A 15,659-nucleotide genomic window follows, 5' to 3' on the forward strand; every position below is an offset into this window, starting at 1 on the left:
GTATTGAACAACGTGATTGGTCTTATGTACACTGCATTATTTTAGGATGGAGTTTCACTTTTGTCATCCAAGCTGGAGTGCAATGGCATTTTCTCAGCTCATTGTACCTCCTGCCTCTGCTTCCCACAGAGCTGGAATTACAGGAACCCACCATGATGTGCAGCATGGCATTGGAGTTCAGATCAGCATTCTCCTAGTAGATTATGAAGCTTACTTATGAAAGAGTATTTCTAATTCCTGGGCTTTGATGTTGTGTACTTAATATAATTTCTGTTTGAGACTCACTTTTGCTCGGGATTGTAATATGATGAGCAGCATTTCTGGCATTTTCTGCTACATGCAATACTAAAAACCATTTTCTGTGGTTGAAATACCCTAACATATTTGTGTCTCATGGAATCTAAATTGTTGGCATTTACTATTCTAGAGAGTTCTGAAGAAGAAATTAAAAGCCACTTTTTAAAATTTTGCAGAGGCCAGGAGAGGTGGTTCACACCTGTAATCCCAGAAACTTTGGAGACTGAGGTAGGAGGATCACCTGAGTTTAGGAGTTTTAGACCAACCTGGTCAATAGGGTAAAACCTCGTCTTCACTAAAATTACACACACACACACACACACACACAAAGAAAAATCAGCTGGGTGTGGTGGTGGACAGCTGTAATCCCAACTACTCAGGAGACTGAGGCAGGAAAATCACTTAAATCTGGGAGGTGGAAGTTGCAGTGAGCTGAGATCACACCATTGCACTCCAGCCTGTATGACAAGAGCAAACCTCCGTCTTAAAAAAATTTTGCATAAATTTTATATGAGATGTCATTTTTCTCTAATTTTTGACTATTCTAAAATCCTGATATTTTCTCTAACTTGCTGCTATCCTAACATTCTGTCATTTGTGAAATATACCAGGGTGTCCTGCAGGTACCGTGGAACTTAATATAAAACAATATTAAATTAATTAAATATAAATAAAAAGCTTTTTTTTTTCCAGATGTGAGGTTATAGTAGCTTTAAAACGTGTGCCACACATTATTTAAAACATTTTGTAATTACAAATCAGCACCGTCACAAACTGCATTGAAAAGCAAATAAATAGTATATCTCAATTTTTAGCTGATTGAATTTCTTTTCTTTTATTTTTAGAATGAAATCTCACACTATCTCTTTGGCTGGAGTGCAGTGGTGCAATCGTAGGACACTGCAACCCCCTGCCTCCCAGGTTCAAGTATTTATTCTTCCTCAGCTTCTTGAATAGCTGAGAATACAGATGCACACCACCACACCTGATGGATTTTTAGCATATTGGCCACACTTGTCTCAAGCTCCAGACCTCAAGTACTCTGCCTGCCTTGGCCTCCAAAAGTACTGGAATTACATGTGTGAATCACCATGCTTGGCCCCTGATTGAAATTCTAATTCAAAAAAATCCCTCTTGCAAAACCTTATTTTCTATATTATATTTTTGATGAGTTTCTTTATATGTCTCATAATTAAAGCAAATGGTATCATTTTAATGTATTTTCTTATACTTGAAAATGAATTTATTTTTATTAATCTGTAATTAAAATAGTAGGTATATTTAGAATGTTAATTTGCTGTGTGTAAACATGATTAGAAATTTCTTTAAAAAACTAATTTGGATAATTAATTACATTAGTTGATTGTACTTGTGTTATTTTCCTCAGGATTTTCTTTTCTTTTCTTTTATTATTATTATAATTTAAGCTTTAGGGTACATGTGCACATTGTGCAGGTTAGTTACATATATATACATGTGCCATGCTGGTATGCTGCACCTATTAACTCGTCATTTAACATTAGATATATCTCCTAATGCTATCCCTCCCCACTGCCCCCACCCCACAACATTCCCCAGAGTGTGATGTTCTCCTTCCTGTGTCCATGTGTTCTCATTGTTCAATTCCAACCTATGAGTGAGAACATGCAGTGTTTGCTTTTTTGTCCTTGCGATAGTTTACTGAGAATGCTGATTTCCCATTTCATTCATGTCCCTACAAAGGACATGAACTCATTATTTTTTATGACTGCATAGTATTCCATGGTGTATATGTGCCACATTTTCTTAATCCAGTCTATCGTTGTTGGACATTTGGGTTGGTTCCAAGTCTTTGCTATTGTGAATAGTGCCACAATAAACATACATGTGCATGTGTCTTTATAGCAGCATGATTTATATTCCTTTGGGTATATACCCAGTAATGGGATGGCTGGGTCAAATGGTATTTCTAGATCTAGATCCATGAGGAATCGCCACACTGACTTCCACAATGGTTGAACTAGTTTACAGTCCCACCAACAGTGTAAAAGTTTTCATATTTCTCCACATCCTCTCCAGCACCTGTTGTTTCCTGACTTTTTAATGATTGCCATTCTAACTGGTATGAGATGGTATCTCATGGTGGTTTTGATGTGCATTTCTCTGATGGCCAGTGATGGTGAGCATTTTCTCATGTGATTTTTGGCTGCATAAATGTCTTGTTTTGAGAAGTGTCTGTTCATGTCCTTCGCCCACTTTTTGATGGGGTTGTTTGTTTTTTTCTTGTAAATTTGTTTGAGTTCATTGTAGATTCTGGATATTAGCCATTTGTCAGATGAATAGGTTGTGAAAATTTTCTCTCATTTTGTAGGTTGCCTGTTCACTCTGATGGTAGTTTCTTTTGCTGTGCAGAAGCTATTTAGTTTAATTAGATCCCATTTGTCAGTTTTGGCTTTTGTTGCCATTGCTTTTGGTGTTTTAGACATGAAGTCCTTGCTCATGCCTATGTCCTGAATGGTAATGCCTAGGTTTTCTTCTAGGGTTTTTATGGTTTTAGGTGTAATGTTTAAGTCTTTATTCCATTTTGAATTAATTTTTGTATAAGGTGTAAGGAAGGGATCCAATTTCAGTTTTCTACATATGATAGCCAGTTTTCCCAGCACCATTTATTACTAGGGAATCCTCTCCCCATTGCTTGTTTTTCTCAGGTTTGTCAAAGATCAGATAGTTGTAGATATGCGGCATTATATCTGAGGGCTTTGTTCTGTTCCATTGATCTATATCTCTGTTTTGGTACCAGTACCGTGCTCTTTTGGTTACTGTAGCTTTGTCGTATAGTTCGAAGTCAGGTAGCGTGATGCCTCCAGCTTTGTTCTTTTGGCTTATGATTGACTTGGCGATGCAGGCTCTTCTTTGGTTCCAAATGAACTTTAAAGTAGTTTTTTCCAACTCTGTGAAGAAAGTCATTGGTAGTTCAATGGGAATGGCATTGAATCAATAAATTACCTTGGGCAGTATGGCCATTTTCACGATATTGATTCTTCCTACCCGTGACTATGGAATGTTTTTCCATTTCTTTGTATTCTATTATTTCATTGAGCAATGGTTTGTAGTTCTCCTTGAAGAGGTCCTTCACATCCCTTGTAAGTTGGATTCCTAGGTATTTTAATCTCTTTGAAGCAATTGTGAATGGGAGTTCATTCATGATTTGGCTCTCTGTTTGTCTGTTATTGGTGTATAAGAATGCTTGTGATTTTTGTACATTGATTTTGTATCCTGGGACTTTGCTGAAGTTGTTTATCTGATTAAGGAAATTTTGGGCTGAGACAATGGGGTTTTCTAGATATACAATCATGTCATGTGCAAACAGGGACAATTTGACTACCTCTTTTCCTAATTGAATACCCTTTACTTCCTTCTCCTGCCTAATTGCCCTGGCCAGAACTTCCAACGCTATGTTGAATAGGAGTGGTGAGAGAGGGCATTCCTGTCTTGTGCCAGTTTTCAAAGGGAATGCTTCCAGTTTTTGCCCATTCAGTATGATACTGGCTGTGGGTTTGTCATAGATAGCTCTTATTATTTTGAAATATGTCACATCAATACCTAATTTATTGAGAGTTTTTAGCATGAAACATTGTTGAATTTTTTCAAAGGCCTTTTCTGCAACTATTGAGATAATCATGTGGTTTTTGTCTTTGGTTCTGATTATATCTGGATTACATTTATTGATTTGTGTATATTGAACCAGTCTTGCATCCCAGGGATGAAGCCCACTTGATCATGATGGATAAGCTTTTTGACGTGCTGCTGGATTCACTTTGCCAGTATTTTATTGAGGATTTTTGCATCAATGTTCATCAAGGATATTGGTCTAAAATTCTCTTTTTTGGTTGTGTCTCTGCCTGGCTTTGGTACCAGGATGATGCTGGCCTCATAAAATGAGTTAGGGAGGATTCCCTCTTTTTCTATTGGTTGGAATATTTTCAGAAGGAATGATACCAGTTCCTCCTTGTACCTCTAGTAGAATTCGACTGTGAATCCATCTAGTCCTGGACTCTTTATGGTTGGTAAGCTATTGATTATTGCCACAATTTCAGAGCCTGTTGTTGGTCTATTCAGAGATTCAACTTCTTCCTGGTTTAGTCTTGTGAGGGTGTATGTGTCAAGGAATTTATCCATTTCTTCTAGATTTTCTAGTTTATTTGCATAGAGGTGTTTGTAGTATTCTCTGATGGTAGTTTGTATTTCTATGGGATCAGTGGTGATATAGCCTTTATCATTTTTTATTGTGTCTATTTGATTCTTCTGTCTTTTCTTCTTTATTAGTCTTGCTAATGGTCTATCAATTTTGTTGATCTTTTCAAAAAACCAGCTCCTGGATTCATTAATTTTTTGAAGGGTTTTTTGTGTCTCTATTTCCTTCAGTTCTGCTCTGATCTTAGTTATTTCTTGCCTTCTGCTAGCTTTTGAATGTGTTTGCTCTTGCTTTTCTAGTTCTTTTAATTGTGATGTTAGGGTGTCAATTTTGGATCTTTCCTGCTTTCTCTTGTGGGCATTTAGTGCTATAAATTTCCCTCTACACTCTGCTTTGAATGTGTCCCAGAGATTCTGGTATTTTGTGTCTTTGTTCTCGTTAGTTTCAAAGAACATCTTTATTTCTGCCTTCATTTCATTATGTACCCAGTAGTCATTCAGAAGCAGGTTGTTCTATTTCCATGTAGTTGAGCCGTTTTCAGTGAGTTTCTTAATCCTGAGTTCTAGTTTGATTGCACTGTGGTCTGAGAGACAGTTCGTTATAATTTTTGTTCTTTTACATTTGCTGAGGAGAGGTCTACTTCCAACTATTCAATTTTGGAATAGGTGTGGTGTGGTGCTGAAAAAATGTATATTCTGTTGACTTGGGGTGGAGACTTCTGTCGATATCTATTAGGTCCACTTGGTGCAGAGCTGAGTTCAATTCCTGGATATCCTTGTTAACTTTCTGTCTCATTGATCTGTCTAATGTTGACAGTGGGGTGTTAAAGTCTCCCATTATTATTGTGTGGGGGTCTCAGTCTCTTTGTAGGTCACTGAGGACTTGCTTTATGAATCTTGGTGCTCCTGTATTGGGAGCATATATATTTAGGATAGGCAGCTCTTCTTGTTGAATTGATCTCTTTACCATTATGTAATGGTGTTCTTTGTCTCTTTTGATCTTTGTTGGTTTAAAGTCTGTTTTATCAGAGACTAGGATTGCAACCCCTGCCTTGTTTTGTTTTCCATTTGCTTGATAGATCTTCCTCCATCCTTTTATTTTGAGCCTATGTGTATCTCTGCACGTGAGATGGGTTTCCTGAATACAGCACACTGATGGGTTTTGACTCTTTATCCAATTTGCCAGTCTGTGTCTTTTAATTGGATCATTTCGTCCACTTATGTTTAAAGTTAATATTGTTATGTGTGAATTTGATCCTGTCATTATGATGTGAGCTGGTTGTGTTGCTCATTAGTTGATGCAGTTTCTTCCTAGCCTAATGGTCTTTACAATTTGGCATGATTTTGCTGTGGCTGGTACCGGTTGTTCCTTTCCATGTTTAGTGCTTCCTTCAGGAGCCCTACAAGGCAGGCCTTGTGGTGACAAAATCTCTCAGCATTTGCTTGTCTGTAAAGTATTTTATTTCTCCTTCACTTATGAAACTTAGTTTGTCTGGTTATGAAATTCTGGGTTGAAAATTCTTTTCTTTAAGAATGTTGAATATTGGCCCCCACCCTCTTCTGGCTTGTAGAGTTTCTGCCGAGAGATCCGCTGTTAGTCTGATGAGCTTCCCTTTGTGGGTAATCTGACCTTTCTCTCTGGCTGCCCTTAATATTTTTTCCTTCATTTCAACTTTGATGAATCTGACAATTATGTGTCTTGGAGTTGCTCTTCTCGAGGAGTATCTTTGTGGTGTTCTCTGTATTTCCTGAATCTGAATGTTGGCCTGCCTTGCTAGATTGGGGAAGTTCTCCTGGATAATATCCTGCATAGTGTTTTCCAACTTGGTTCCATTCTCCCTGTCATTTTCAGGTACACCAATCAGTTGTAGATTTGGTCTTTTCACGTAGTCCCATATTTCTTGGAGGCTTTGTTCATTTCTTTTTATTATTTTTTCTCTAAACTTCCCTTCTCCCTTCATTTCATTCATTTCATCTTCCATCACTGATACCCTTTCTTCCAGTTGATCACATTGGCTCCTGAGGCTTCTGCATTCTTCATGTAGTTCTCAAGCCTTGGCTTTCAGCTTCATCAGCTCCTTTAAGCACTTCTCCATGTTGGTTATTCTAGTTATAGATTCGTCTAAATTTTTTTCAAAGTTTTTAACTTCTTTGCCTTTGGTTTGAATTTCCTCCTGTAGCTTGGAGTAGTTTGATTGTCTGAAGCCTTCTTCTCTCAACTCGTCAAAGTCATTCTCCATCCAGCTTTGTTCCATTGCTGGTGAGGAACTGCATTCCTTTGGAGGAGGAGAGGTGCTCTGCTTTTTAGAGTTTCCAGTTTTTCTGCTCTGTTTTTTCCCCATGTTTGTGGTTTTATCTACCTTTGGTCTTTGATGATGGTGATGTGCAGATGGGTTTTTGATGTGGATATCCTTTCTGTTTGTTAGTTTTCCTTCTAACAGACAGGACCCTCAGCTGCAGGTCTGTTGGAATTTGCTAGAGGTTCACTCCAGACCCTGTTTGCCTGGGTATCAGCAGCGGTGGCTGCAGAACAGCAGATTTTCGTGAACCGCGAATGCTGCTGTCTGATCGTTCCTCTAGAAGTTTTTTCTCAGAGGAGTACCTGGCCATGTGAGGTGTCAGTCTGCCCCTACTGAGGGGTGCCTCCCAGTTAGGCTGCTTGGGGATCAGGGGTCAGAGACCCACTTGAGGAGGCAGTCTGCCCATTCTCAGATCTCCAGCTGCGTGCTGGGAGAACCATTGCTCTCTTCAAAGCTGTCAGAAAGGGACATTTAAGTCTGCAGAGATTACTGCTGTCTTTATGTTTGTCTGTGCGCTGCCCCCAGAGGTGGAGCGTACAGAGGCAGGCAGGCCTCCTTGAGCTGTGGTGGGCTCCAACCAGTTTGAGCTTCCCAGCTGCTTTGTTTACCTAAGCAAGCTTCAGCAATGGCGGGCGCCCCTCCACCAGGCTTGCTGCAGCCTTGCAGTTTGATCTCAGACTGCTGTGCTAGCAATCAGCGAGACTCTGTGGGCGTAGGATCCTCTGAGCCAGGTGTGGGATATAATCTCCTGGTGTGCCATTTTTTAAGCCCACTGGAAAAGTGCAGTATTAGGGTGGCAGTAACCCGATTTTCCAGGTGCCGTCTGTCACCCCTTTCTTTGACTAGGAAAGGGAACTCCCTGACCCCTTGCAATTCCTGAGTGAGGCAATGCCTCGCCCTGCTTCAGCTCGTTCATGGTGCACTGTACCCACTGACGTGCGCCCACTATCTGGCACTCCCTAGTGAGATGAACTGGGTACCTCAGATGGAAATGCAGAAATCACCCGTCTTCTCCATGACTCATGCTGGGAGCTGTAGACCGGAGCTGTTCCTTTTCAGCCATCTTGGCTGCCCTCCAGGATTTTCTTTTGTAAGAAAACTCAAAATTGCTTCAAGATACATTGAGATGTTCAATTATGTGAAATGAACTTAAAGGTATTTTCTTTGAAAAGGAAGTTTTTATAACCTAACTTTTCTACTAATAATATGTGATTATTTTTTCTAACATATGAGAAATTAATTTTTTTCATCTTCCCTGCACCTAAAGTTCACCTGCAATATATGACAAGCAAAGAACTGCTAACAGAGAAGGCTGTTCTAGTCTGTAAGTCACCCATTACCATAAACTCTGGTTTTGAGCTACTTGCAGCAGCAGCTATTGGCTGTGTAAAAAATTTCACATTGATGCTACACTGTTTGACTGAAACATATTACGTAGACAAAGCAAAAACTGTGAGTATTTTAAATTATAAAGCAGTTTTGTTCATTAATCACACTTTTGTTTAAAATTCTATTATTTCCTTTAGAAAAATTAACTCATTTTTTTTGTTTGTTTGTTTTTGGTCAACTAGTTTACTATTTTGTAGTCATCAGGTATATAATTAAAGCCATTTAAGTAAGAGAACATTAATTTTTTAATAAGCATGTATTTCTTAACTTCTCTTCTATACTTGGTTTTGGTACTTTACCACAGTGGGTTTTATTTAGTCATATGTGAAAAAAAAAAATTAACCCTTTAGAATAACAAGAAACCAAATGTAATGCTACAAAAAGTTTATATTTAAAACGTATTCTTTAAAAAGATTTTCATAACCCAAACATTATAGTTGCTTAATTTATTTTACTTATATTCCGGGTGGTGTTTTTTTAAAAATCATAATGTGAGAAGAGAACATTTGAGTGCATTTTATTACTTTTAAATGTCCATATTAATTAAACAAAATGGGTAGCAATGTTGAAATCTTACACAAAACTGCAATTCAGAGTGGGAACCAATGTAAGTAAGTTAACAAACGATAACCTGAAATTTAGTTTATTTCAAGAGAAACCTGAGAGTTAAGAATATAATTAACAAAGCATTCTGTACAGATATTTCATTGGAAATGTGAAATTATATTTCTTTATATTTTTTCTCTGTGAGTATATTTTTTAATACATTGTAGGAGTTTCTAGCTAAACTCACTACTCAAAATTTCAGATGTTTATGTGTTCTGTAGGATCTACGTAGAGAGAAGAATTTCCTTTTTGAAAACACTTTTTTTTGTTTAACTATTGTATTGGAATAGTAAATATATATTTTCAAAAGAGTTTTTTAAACAAACAAAAAATAGTATTTGTTTAAACTATTTAGCCACTGTTTTCTTGTGATTAATATATATTTTCAAATATATAAGAGGACATGCAGTAAAAACTATGAACTTGTCACCAATAATATATTTCTGGTCCAGAGATTTTCTTTTAGGTATATGCGCATCTTCAAATGCTTAGCTATTTTTTTTTTATGGAAATGAGCATAAGCAATATACAATATGGTTAACCTTGTTTTGTACTTAGTCACACACCTGTCAATACATGAAGATCTGTTTAATTCTGTTTTGAAGCTACATAACTTGAAGTTCAATATGTTCTAATTTATGCAATCCACCTGTAAGATGGAGTGATGTGTAAGTTGTATTCTGTTTTACAAAAAGTAGCATTTACAATTTTCACAGGTATTTTAAAGACACCATCTAATTGACTTCTTCTCACAATAAAACTGTGAAGATATATAAAGCAATTATCACTATCAGCTGAGGAAGAAAGTGATATTTATGTGAAGGTTATAGTTTTTATGAGTCAGAACAATAATTTAAATGAAGTGCTCCATTAAAACTGAGAAAACGCTAATGTTCTATTTATATAAAGTTCTGATGGAAGTGTATTGTATACACTTATTTTAAGTGCAAAAGTTTTTTAATATGTAAAGTCATAACGATTAATGCTAAGTCTCTGTTTAACACATGAGAATTTAATATTATATCATCGTGTATGACTCTTTCTAAGAAAATTGTTGCAAAAACAATGCCGTTAAAAATGTGGACTTAAAAAGTCTGCATGCAATAGTCTTTATGGTGGCTCACATTGCTGATGTAAAAGTTTAAAGTACTCTTTCAAAATGGCTGTGTTAGCCTCATAGAATAAATTTCACAGCCTGATTAAGAGAACAATGGGTAAAATCATTATTTTTGTTGCATAAGCATTATTTTTTCTTAGCTTGTGAAGCACTCAGTGAACAGGAATATCTGCCCTCTGTTGGATCCTGCCCACCAAAAAATTGGTGGGACTCAGAGAAGCTGGTGCTACTTTTCACATAAATTCTGTGATCCAGCAACTATATATAATCCTAGTCATCAGAAACAGTATTTCTACAATTGAAAAAACAGTTAGTGATAAAGATGATGATTGTTCAAAGATGAGGAACAAAATTGTGAGGTAAGTTTTAATTATAATTTTTTTAATGGTCTGATAGTAAATACTGTTATTCTTCCTGAAATTAGTGTACTTTCATGAGATTTTTATCAGGACTGCATTTTGATGATACGGGTAGAATATGTGAGATACTATGACTGGCATGTTTACTGTGCTTGCTATCTAGTAACTTGAAATTTTAGTTAATAATATTTACTACTTTTTGTTTGTTTGTTTTCAAACCATGGTAGATATAATCACATTTGTGTGACACGGAAATGCAATTCAGTCTTTGAATAATGAGAATTTTTTTTTTTTTTTTTTTTTTGAGATGGAGTCTCGTTCTGTCACCCAGGCTGGAGTGCAGTGATGTAGTCTCAACTAACTGCAAGCTCTGCCTCCTGGGTTCATGCCATTCTCCTGCCTCAGCTTCCTGAGTAGCTGGGACTACAGGTGCCCACCATCACACCCGGCTATTTTGTTTTTGTATTTTTAGTAGGGATGGGGTTTCACTATTAGCCAGGGTGATCTGCTGACCTCGTGATCCACCCATCTCAGCCTCCCAAAGCACTGGGATTGCAGGCATGAGCCACCATGCCAGGCCTTTTATTTTTAGTAATTATATTTCCATTTTGTTTTTTAAAGTAGGCTTTTTTTTTTTACTGTTGTTCTGTCTGTGTTATATAAGTTGTGCTTATTTTTATGATTCTCTGCATATTTTTCTCAAATTCAGGTTTTTTCTGCTAAGGAAAAAAATCTTTTAAAAGAATCTGTGTAGTAACATTTTGGAGCTCATTGAGGCCTATGGGGAAAAAAACAGAATAACCCTAGAGAAAAACTAGAAAGATGCTATCTATGAAACTGCTTTGTGATGTGTGGATTCAACTTACAGAGTTAAACTTTTCTTTTGATTCAGCAGGTTGGAAACACTCTTTTTGGAAAATCTGCAAAGGGACATTTTGCAGCTCATTGTTGCCTATGTGGCAAAAGAGAATCCCCAGATAAGAACTAGAAAGAAGCTATTTGTGAAACTGCTTTGAGGTATGTGGGCTCATCTCACAGAAGTAAACTTTTCTTTTGATTCAGCAGGTGGAAAACACTCTTTTTGGAGAATCTTCAAAGGGACATTTGGGAGTCCGTTAAGGCCAATGGAAACAAACAAACAAACAAACAAATATCTCCAGATAAAAACTAGAAAGAAGCTATGTGTGAAACTGCTTTTTGACGTGTGGATTCATCTTGCAGTGTTAAATCTATTTTTTTTATTCAGCAGGCTGTAAACACTTCTTAGACAGTCTGTGAAGTGACATTTGGAGGACCATTCAGGCCTATGGTGAAAAAAACAAGATAGCCCTGAATAAAAATTAGAAAGAAGCTATGTGTGAAACTGCTTTGTGATGTGTGGATTCACCTCATAGGTTTAAACCTTTCTTTTGATTCAGCAGGTTGGAAACACTTATTTTGGAGAAGCCTGCAAAGGACATTTGGGAGACATTGAGGTCTATTGGGAAGAACCAAATATCCCAAGATGAAAACTAGAAAGAAGCAGTCTGTGAAACTGCCTTGTGATGTATGGATTTATCTCATAGAGTTAAACATTTCTTTCGGTCTAGCAGGTTGGATAGACTCTAATTAAGAATCTGTTTAGGGACATTTGGAAGCCTATTGAGGCCTATGCAGAAAAACTGAATATACCCAAATAAAAAGTCAAAAGAAGCTATCTCTTAAACCTCTTTCTGATGTGTGGATTCCTCTCACAGACTTAAAGCTTTCCTTTGATTCATCAAAGTGTAAACACTGTTTTTAGAAAACCTGCAGAGAAACATTTGGGAGCCCATTGAGGCCTATTGAGAAAAAATGAATATACCCAAATAAAAATTAGACAAAAGCTATATATGAAACTGCTTTGTGATGTGTGGAGTCCTCTCAAAGAGAAAAAGCTTTCTTATGATTCAGCAGTTTGGAAACACTCTTTCTGTAGAATCTGCAAAGAGAAACCTGGGAGCCAATTGCAGCATAAGGGGAAAACCTGAATAAACCCAGATAAAAACTAGAATAAAGCTCTGTGAAGATGCTTTGTGATGTGCGGATTCATCTTACAGATTAAAAGCTTTGGTTTATTCAGTAGGTTGAAAACACTCCTTTTCCAGAATCTATGAATGGTCATTTTAACTCCCCTAGAAGCCTATGGGAAAAAAAATTGAATATCCTTAGATAAACTAGAAAGAAGCTATCTGTGAAACTGTTTGTGACATGTGGATTCATGTTACAGAAGGAAATTTTTCTTTTGATTCAGCAGTTTGGAATCATCTTTTTTTTTTTAAAATGTGCAAAAGGATGTTTGAGGGCTTGCTTATGCCTATGGAGAAAAAACTGGATATTCCCAGATAAAAACTTGAAGGAGGCTATCTGTGAAATTGCCTTTTGATGTGTGGATTCATCTCACAGAATTAATTATTTTCTTTCAGCAGGAGGGAAACACTCGTTTTGGAGAATCTGTGAATTTGGGAGCCCAGTGATGCTACCAGGGAAAAATCAAATACACACAGTTAAAAATTTACAAGAAGTTATCTGTGAAACTGCTTTGTGATCCATGGATTCTTCTCACCAACTTGAACCTTTCTTTTCATTCAGCAGGTTGGAAACACTGTTTTTGGAGAATCTGTGAAGGGACATTTGGAAGCCCATGGAGGCCTATGGAACAAAACTGAATATCCCCAGATAAAACCTAGAAGGAATCTACCTGTGAAACTTCTTTGTGATGTGTGGATTCATCTCACAGTGTTAAGCCATTCTTTTGATTCAGCTGGTTATAAACACTCATTTTGGAGAATATGTGATGGGACATTTCAGAGCACACTGGGGACTGTGGGGAAAAATGGAATATACGCAGATAAAAACTAGAAAAAATATATTCCTGAAACGGCTTCATGATGTGTGGATTCATCTCACAATACTCAATCTTTCTTTTGATTTGGCAAGTTGGAAACACTCTTTTTGAAAATCTATGAAGTGACAATTTGTAACCCATTGAGGCCTATGGGGAAATACTGAATATCCCCAGATAAAAACTAGAAAGAAACTCTGTGAAACAGCTTTGTGATGTTTGCATTCAGCTCACAGCATTAAAACTTTCCTTTGATTCAGCAGATTGTGAACAGTCTTTTTGGGTAATTGGCAAAGGGACATTTTGGAGCCCATTAAGGCCTACGGGTAAAACGGAAAATCCCCAGATAAGAAACTAGAAAGAAGGTATCAGAGTAACTGCTTTGATTAATCTCACAGAGTTAAATTTTTCTTCTTATTCAGCAGGTTGGAAACATTTTCTTTGTAGAATCTGCAAAGGGATATTTTGGAGCCCATTGAGGCCTATAGGGAAAAAAAGAATATACCCAGATAAAAACTACAAAGAAGCTCTGTGTGATACTTCTTTGTGATGTGGGGATACGTCTCACAGAGTTAACGTTTTCTTATTCAGCAGGTTGGAATTACTATTTTTGGAGAATCTGTGAAGGGATATTTGGAAGTCTTTTGATGTCTAAAGGCAGAAAGAGAATATCCCCAGATAAAGATTAAAAAGCAGCTATGTGTGAAACAGCTTTGTGATGTATCGATTCGTCTCACAGAGTTAAACCTTTCTTACAATTCAGCAGTTTGGAAACACTCTTTTTGCGGTATCTGCAAAGGGACATTTGGCACCCATTGACGATTATGTAGAAAGGCAGAATATCCCAGAAAAATACTAGAAAGAAGGTCTCTGTGAAAGTGCTTCATGATGTGTGGACTCACCTGACAGAGTTAAATATTTCTTTTGATTCAGCATGTTGAAAATACTCTTTTTGTATAGTCTATGAGGATAAATTTCAGAGCCCATTGAGGATCAATATAAAAAAACAGAATATCTTCAGATAAAAACTACAAAGAAGCCATCTGTGAAACTGCTTTGTGATGTGTGGATTCATTTCACAGATTTAAAACATTCTTTTGATTCAGCAGGTTGGAAACACTCTGTGTAGAGTCTGTGAACAGACATTTGGGAGCTCATTGAGGCCTGGGGGAGAAAGAGAATAGCCCCAGATAAAACCTAGAAATAAAGTATTTGTAAAACTGCTTTGTGATGTGTGGATTCATTGAACAGAGTTAAATCTTTCTTTTCATTTAGCTCGTTTACAACACTCTTTTTGGAGAATCTGCAAAGGGACATTTGAACACCCATTGAGGTCTATGGGGACAAATCGAATATCCCCAGGTAAAACTAGAAAGAACCTATCTGTGAAACTTTCAGACATGTAGATTCATCTTAAAACAGTATTTTTTTTCTTTTCCTTCAGCAGATTGGGAACACCCTTTTTGTAGGATCTGCAAAGGAACACTTTGGAGCCCATTGAGAATTACTGGGAAAGAACAAATATCCACAGATAAAAACTAGAAGAAAGCTATTTGTGCTTTTTGATGTATGGATTCATCTCACAGAATTAATTTTTTCTTTTGATTCAGCAGGTGGAAAACACTGCTTTTGGAGGATCTGCAAAGGCACATTTATGAGCCAATTGATGCAGTCGAGGAAAACCCAAATATATTCATATAAAAACTAAAAACAAACTATCTGTGAAAATGATTTGAGATGTGCGCATTCATCTCACAGAGTTGAACCTTTCTTTCAGTTCAGCAGGTTGGAAACAGTCTTTTTGTAGAATCTGCAAAGGGACATTTGGGAGCTCCTGGAGGTCTGTGGGGCAAAACTGAATATCGTCAGATAAAAACTAGAAAGAAGATAGTCTGTCAAACTTTTTTGTGATATGTGGATTCATCTTACAAAGGCAAACATTTCTTTTGATTCAGCAAGTTGAAAGCACTCTTTTCAGAAAATATGCGATTGAATATTTGGGAGCCCTTTCAGGCCAAAGGGGAATAACCACATATACCCAGATAAAAACAACAAAGAAGCTATCTGAGGAACTTTTTGTGATACATATTTTCATCTCTCAGTGTTAAACTTTTCTCCTGATTCCACAGGTTTTGAAACACTCTTTATGCATAATCTACAAAGGGACATTTTGGAGACCCTTGAGGTCTATGGGGTGAAACCAAATATCCCCAGATAAAACTAGAAAGAAGGTATCCGTGAAACTTCTTTGTGATATCTGGATTCATGTCACAGAGATAAACCTTTCTTTTTATTCAGGAGATTGAAAATACTCTTTTTGAAAAATCTACAAAATGACATTTGGGATCCCATGGACAATTATTGGAAAAGAACGAATATCCCAAGACAAAAACCAGACGGAAGCTATCTGTGAAAATGCTTTGTGATGGGTAGATTCTTCTCACAGAATTATACTTTTCTTTTTATTCATCAGGTGGAAACATTCTTTTTGGAGAATCTGTGAAGGGCCATTTCTGTGCTCCAACTGGACTATGCAGAAAAACCAAGTATTTTCA

This window comes from Homo sapiens, chromosome Y (genome assembly GCF_000001405.40).
Source record: "Homo sapiens chromosome Y, GRCh38.p14 Primary Assembly".
NCBI classification, from domain to species: domain Eukaryota; kingdom Metazoa; phylum Chordata; class Mammalia; order Primates; family Hominidae; genus Homo; species Homo sapiens.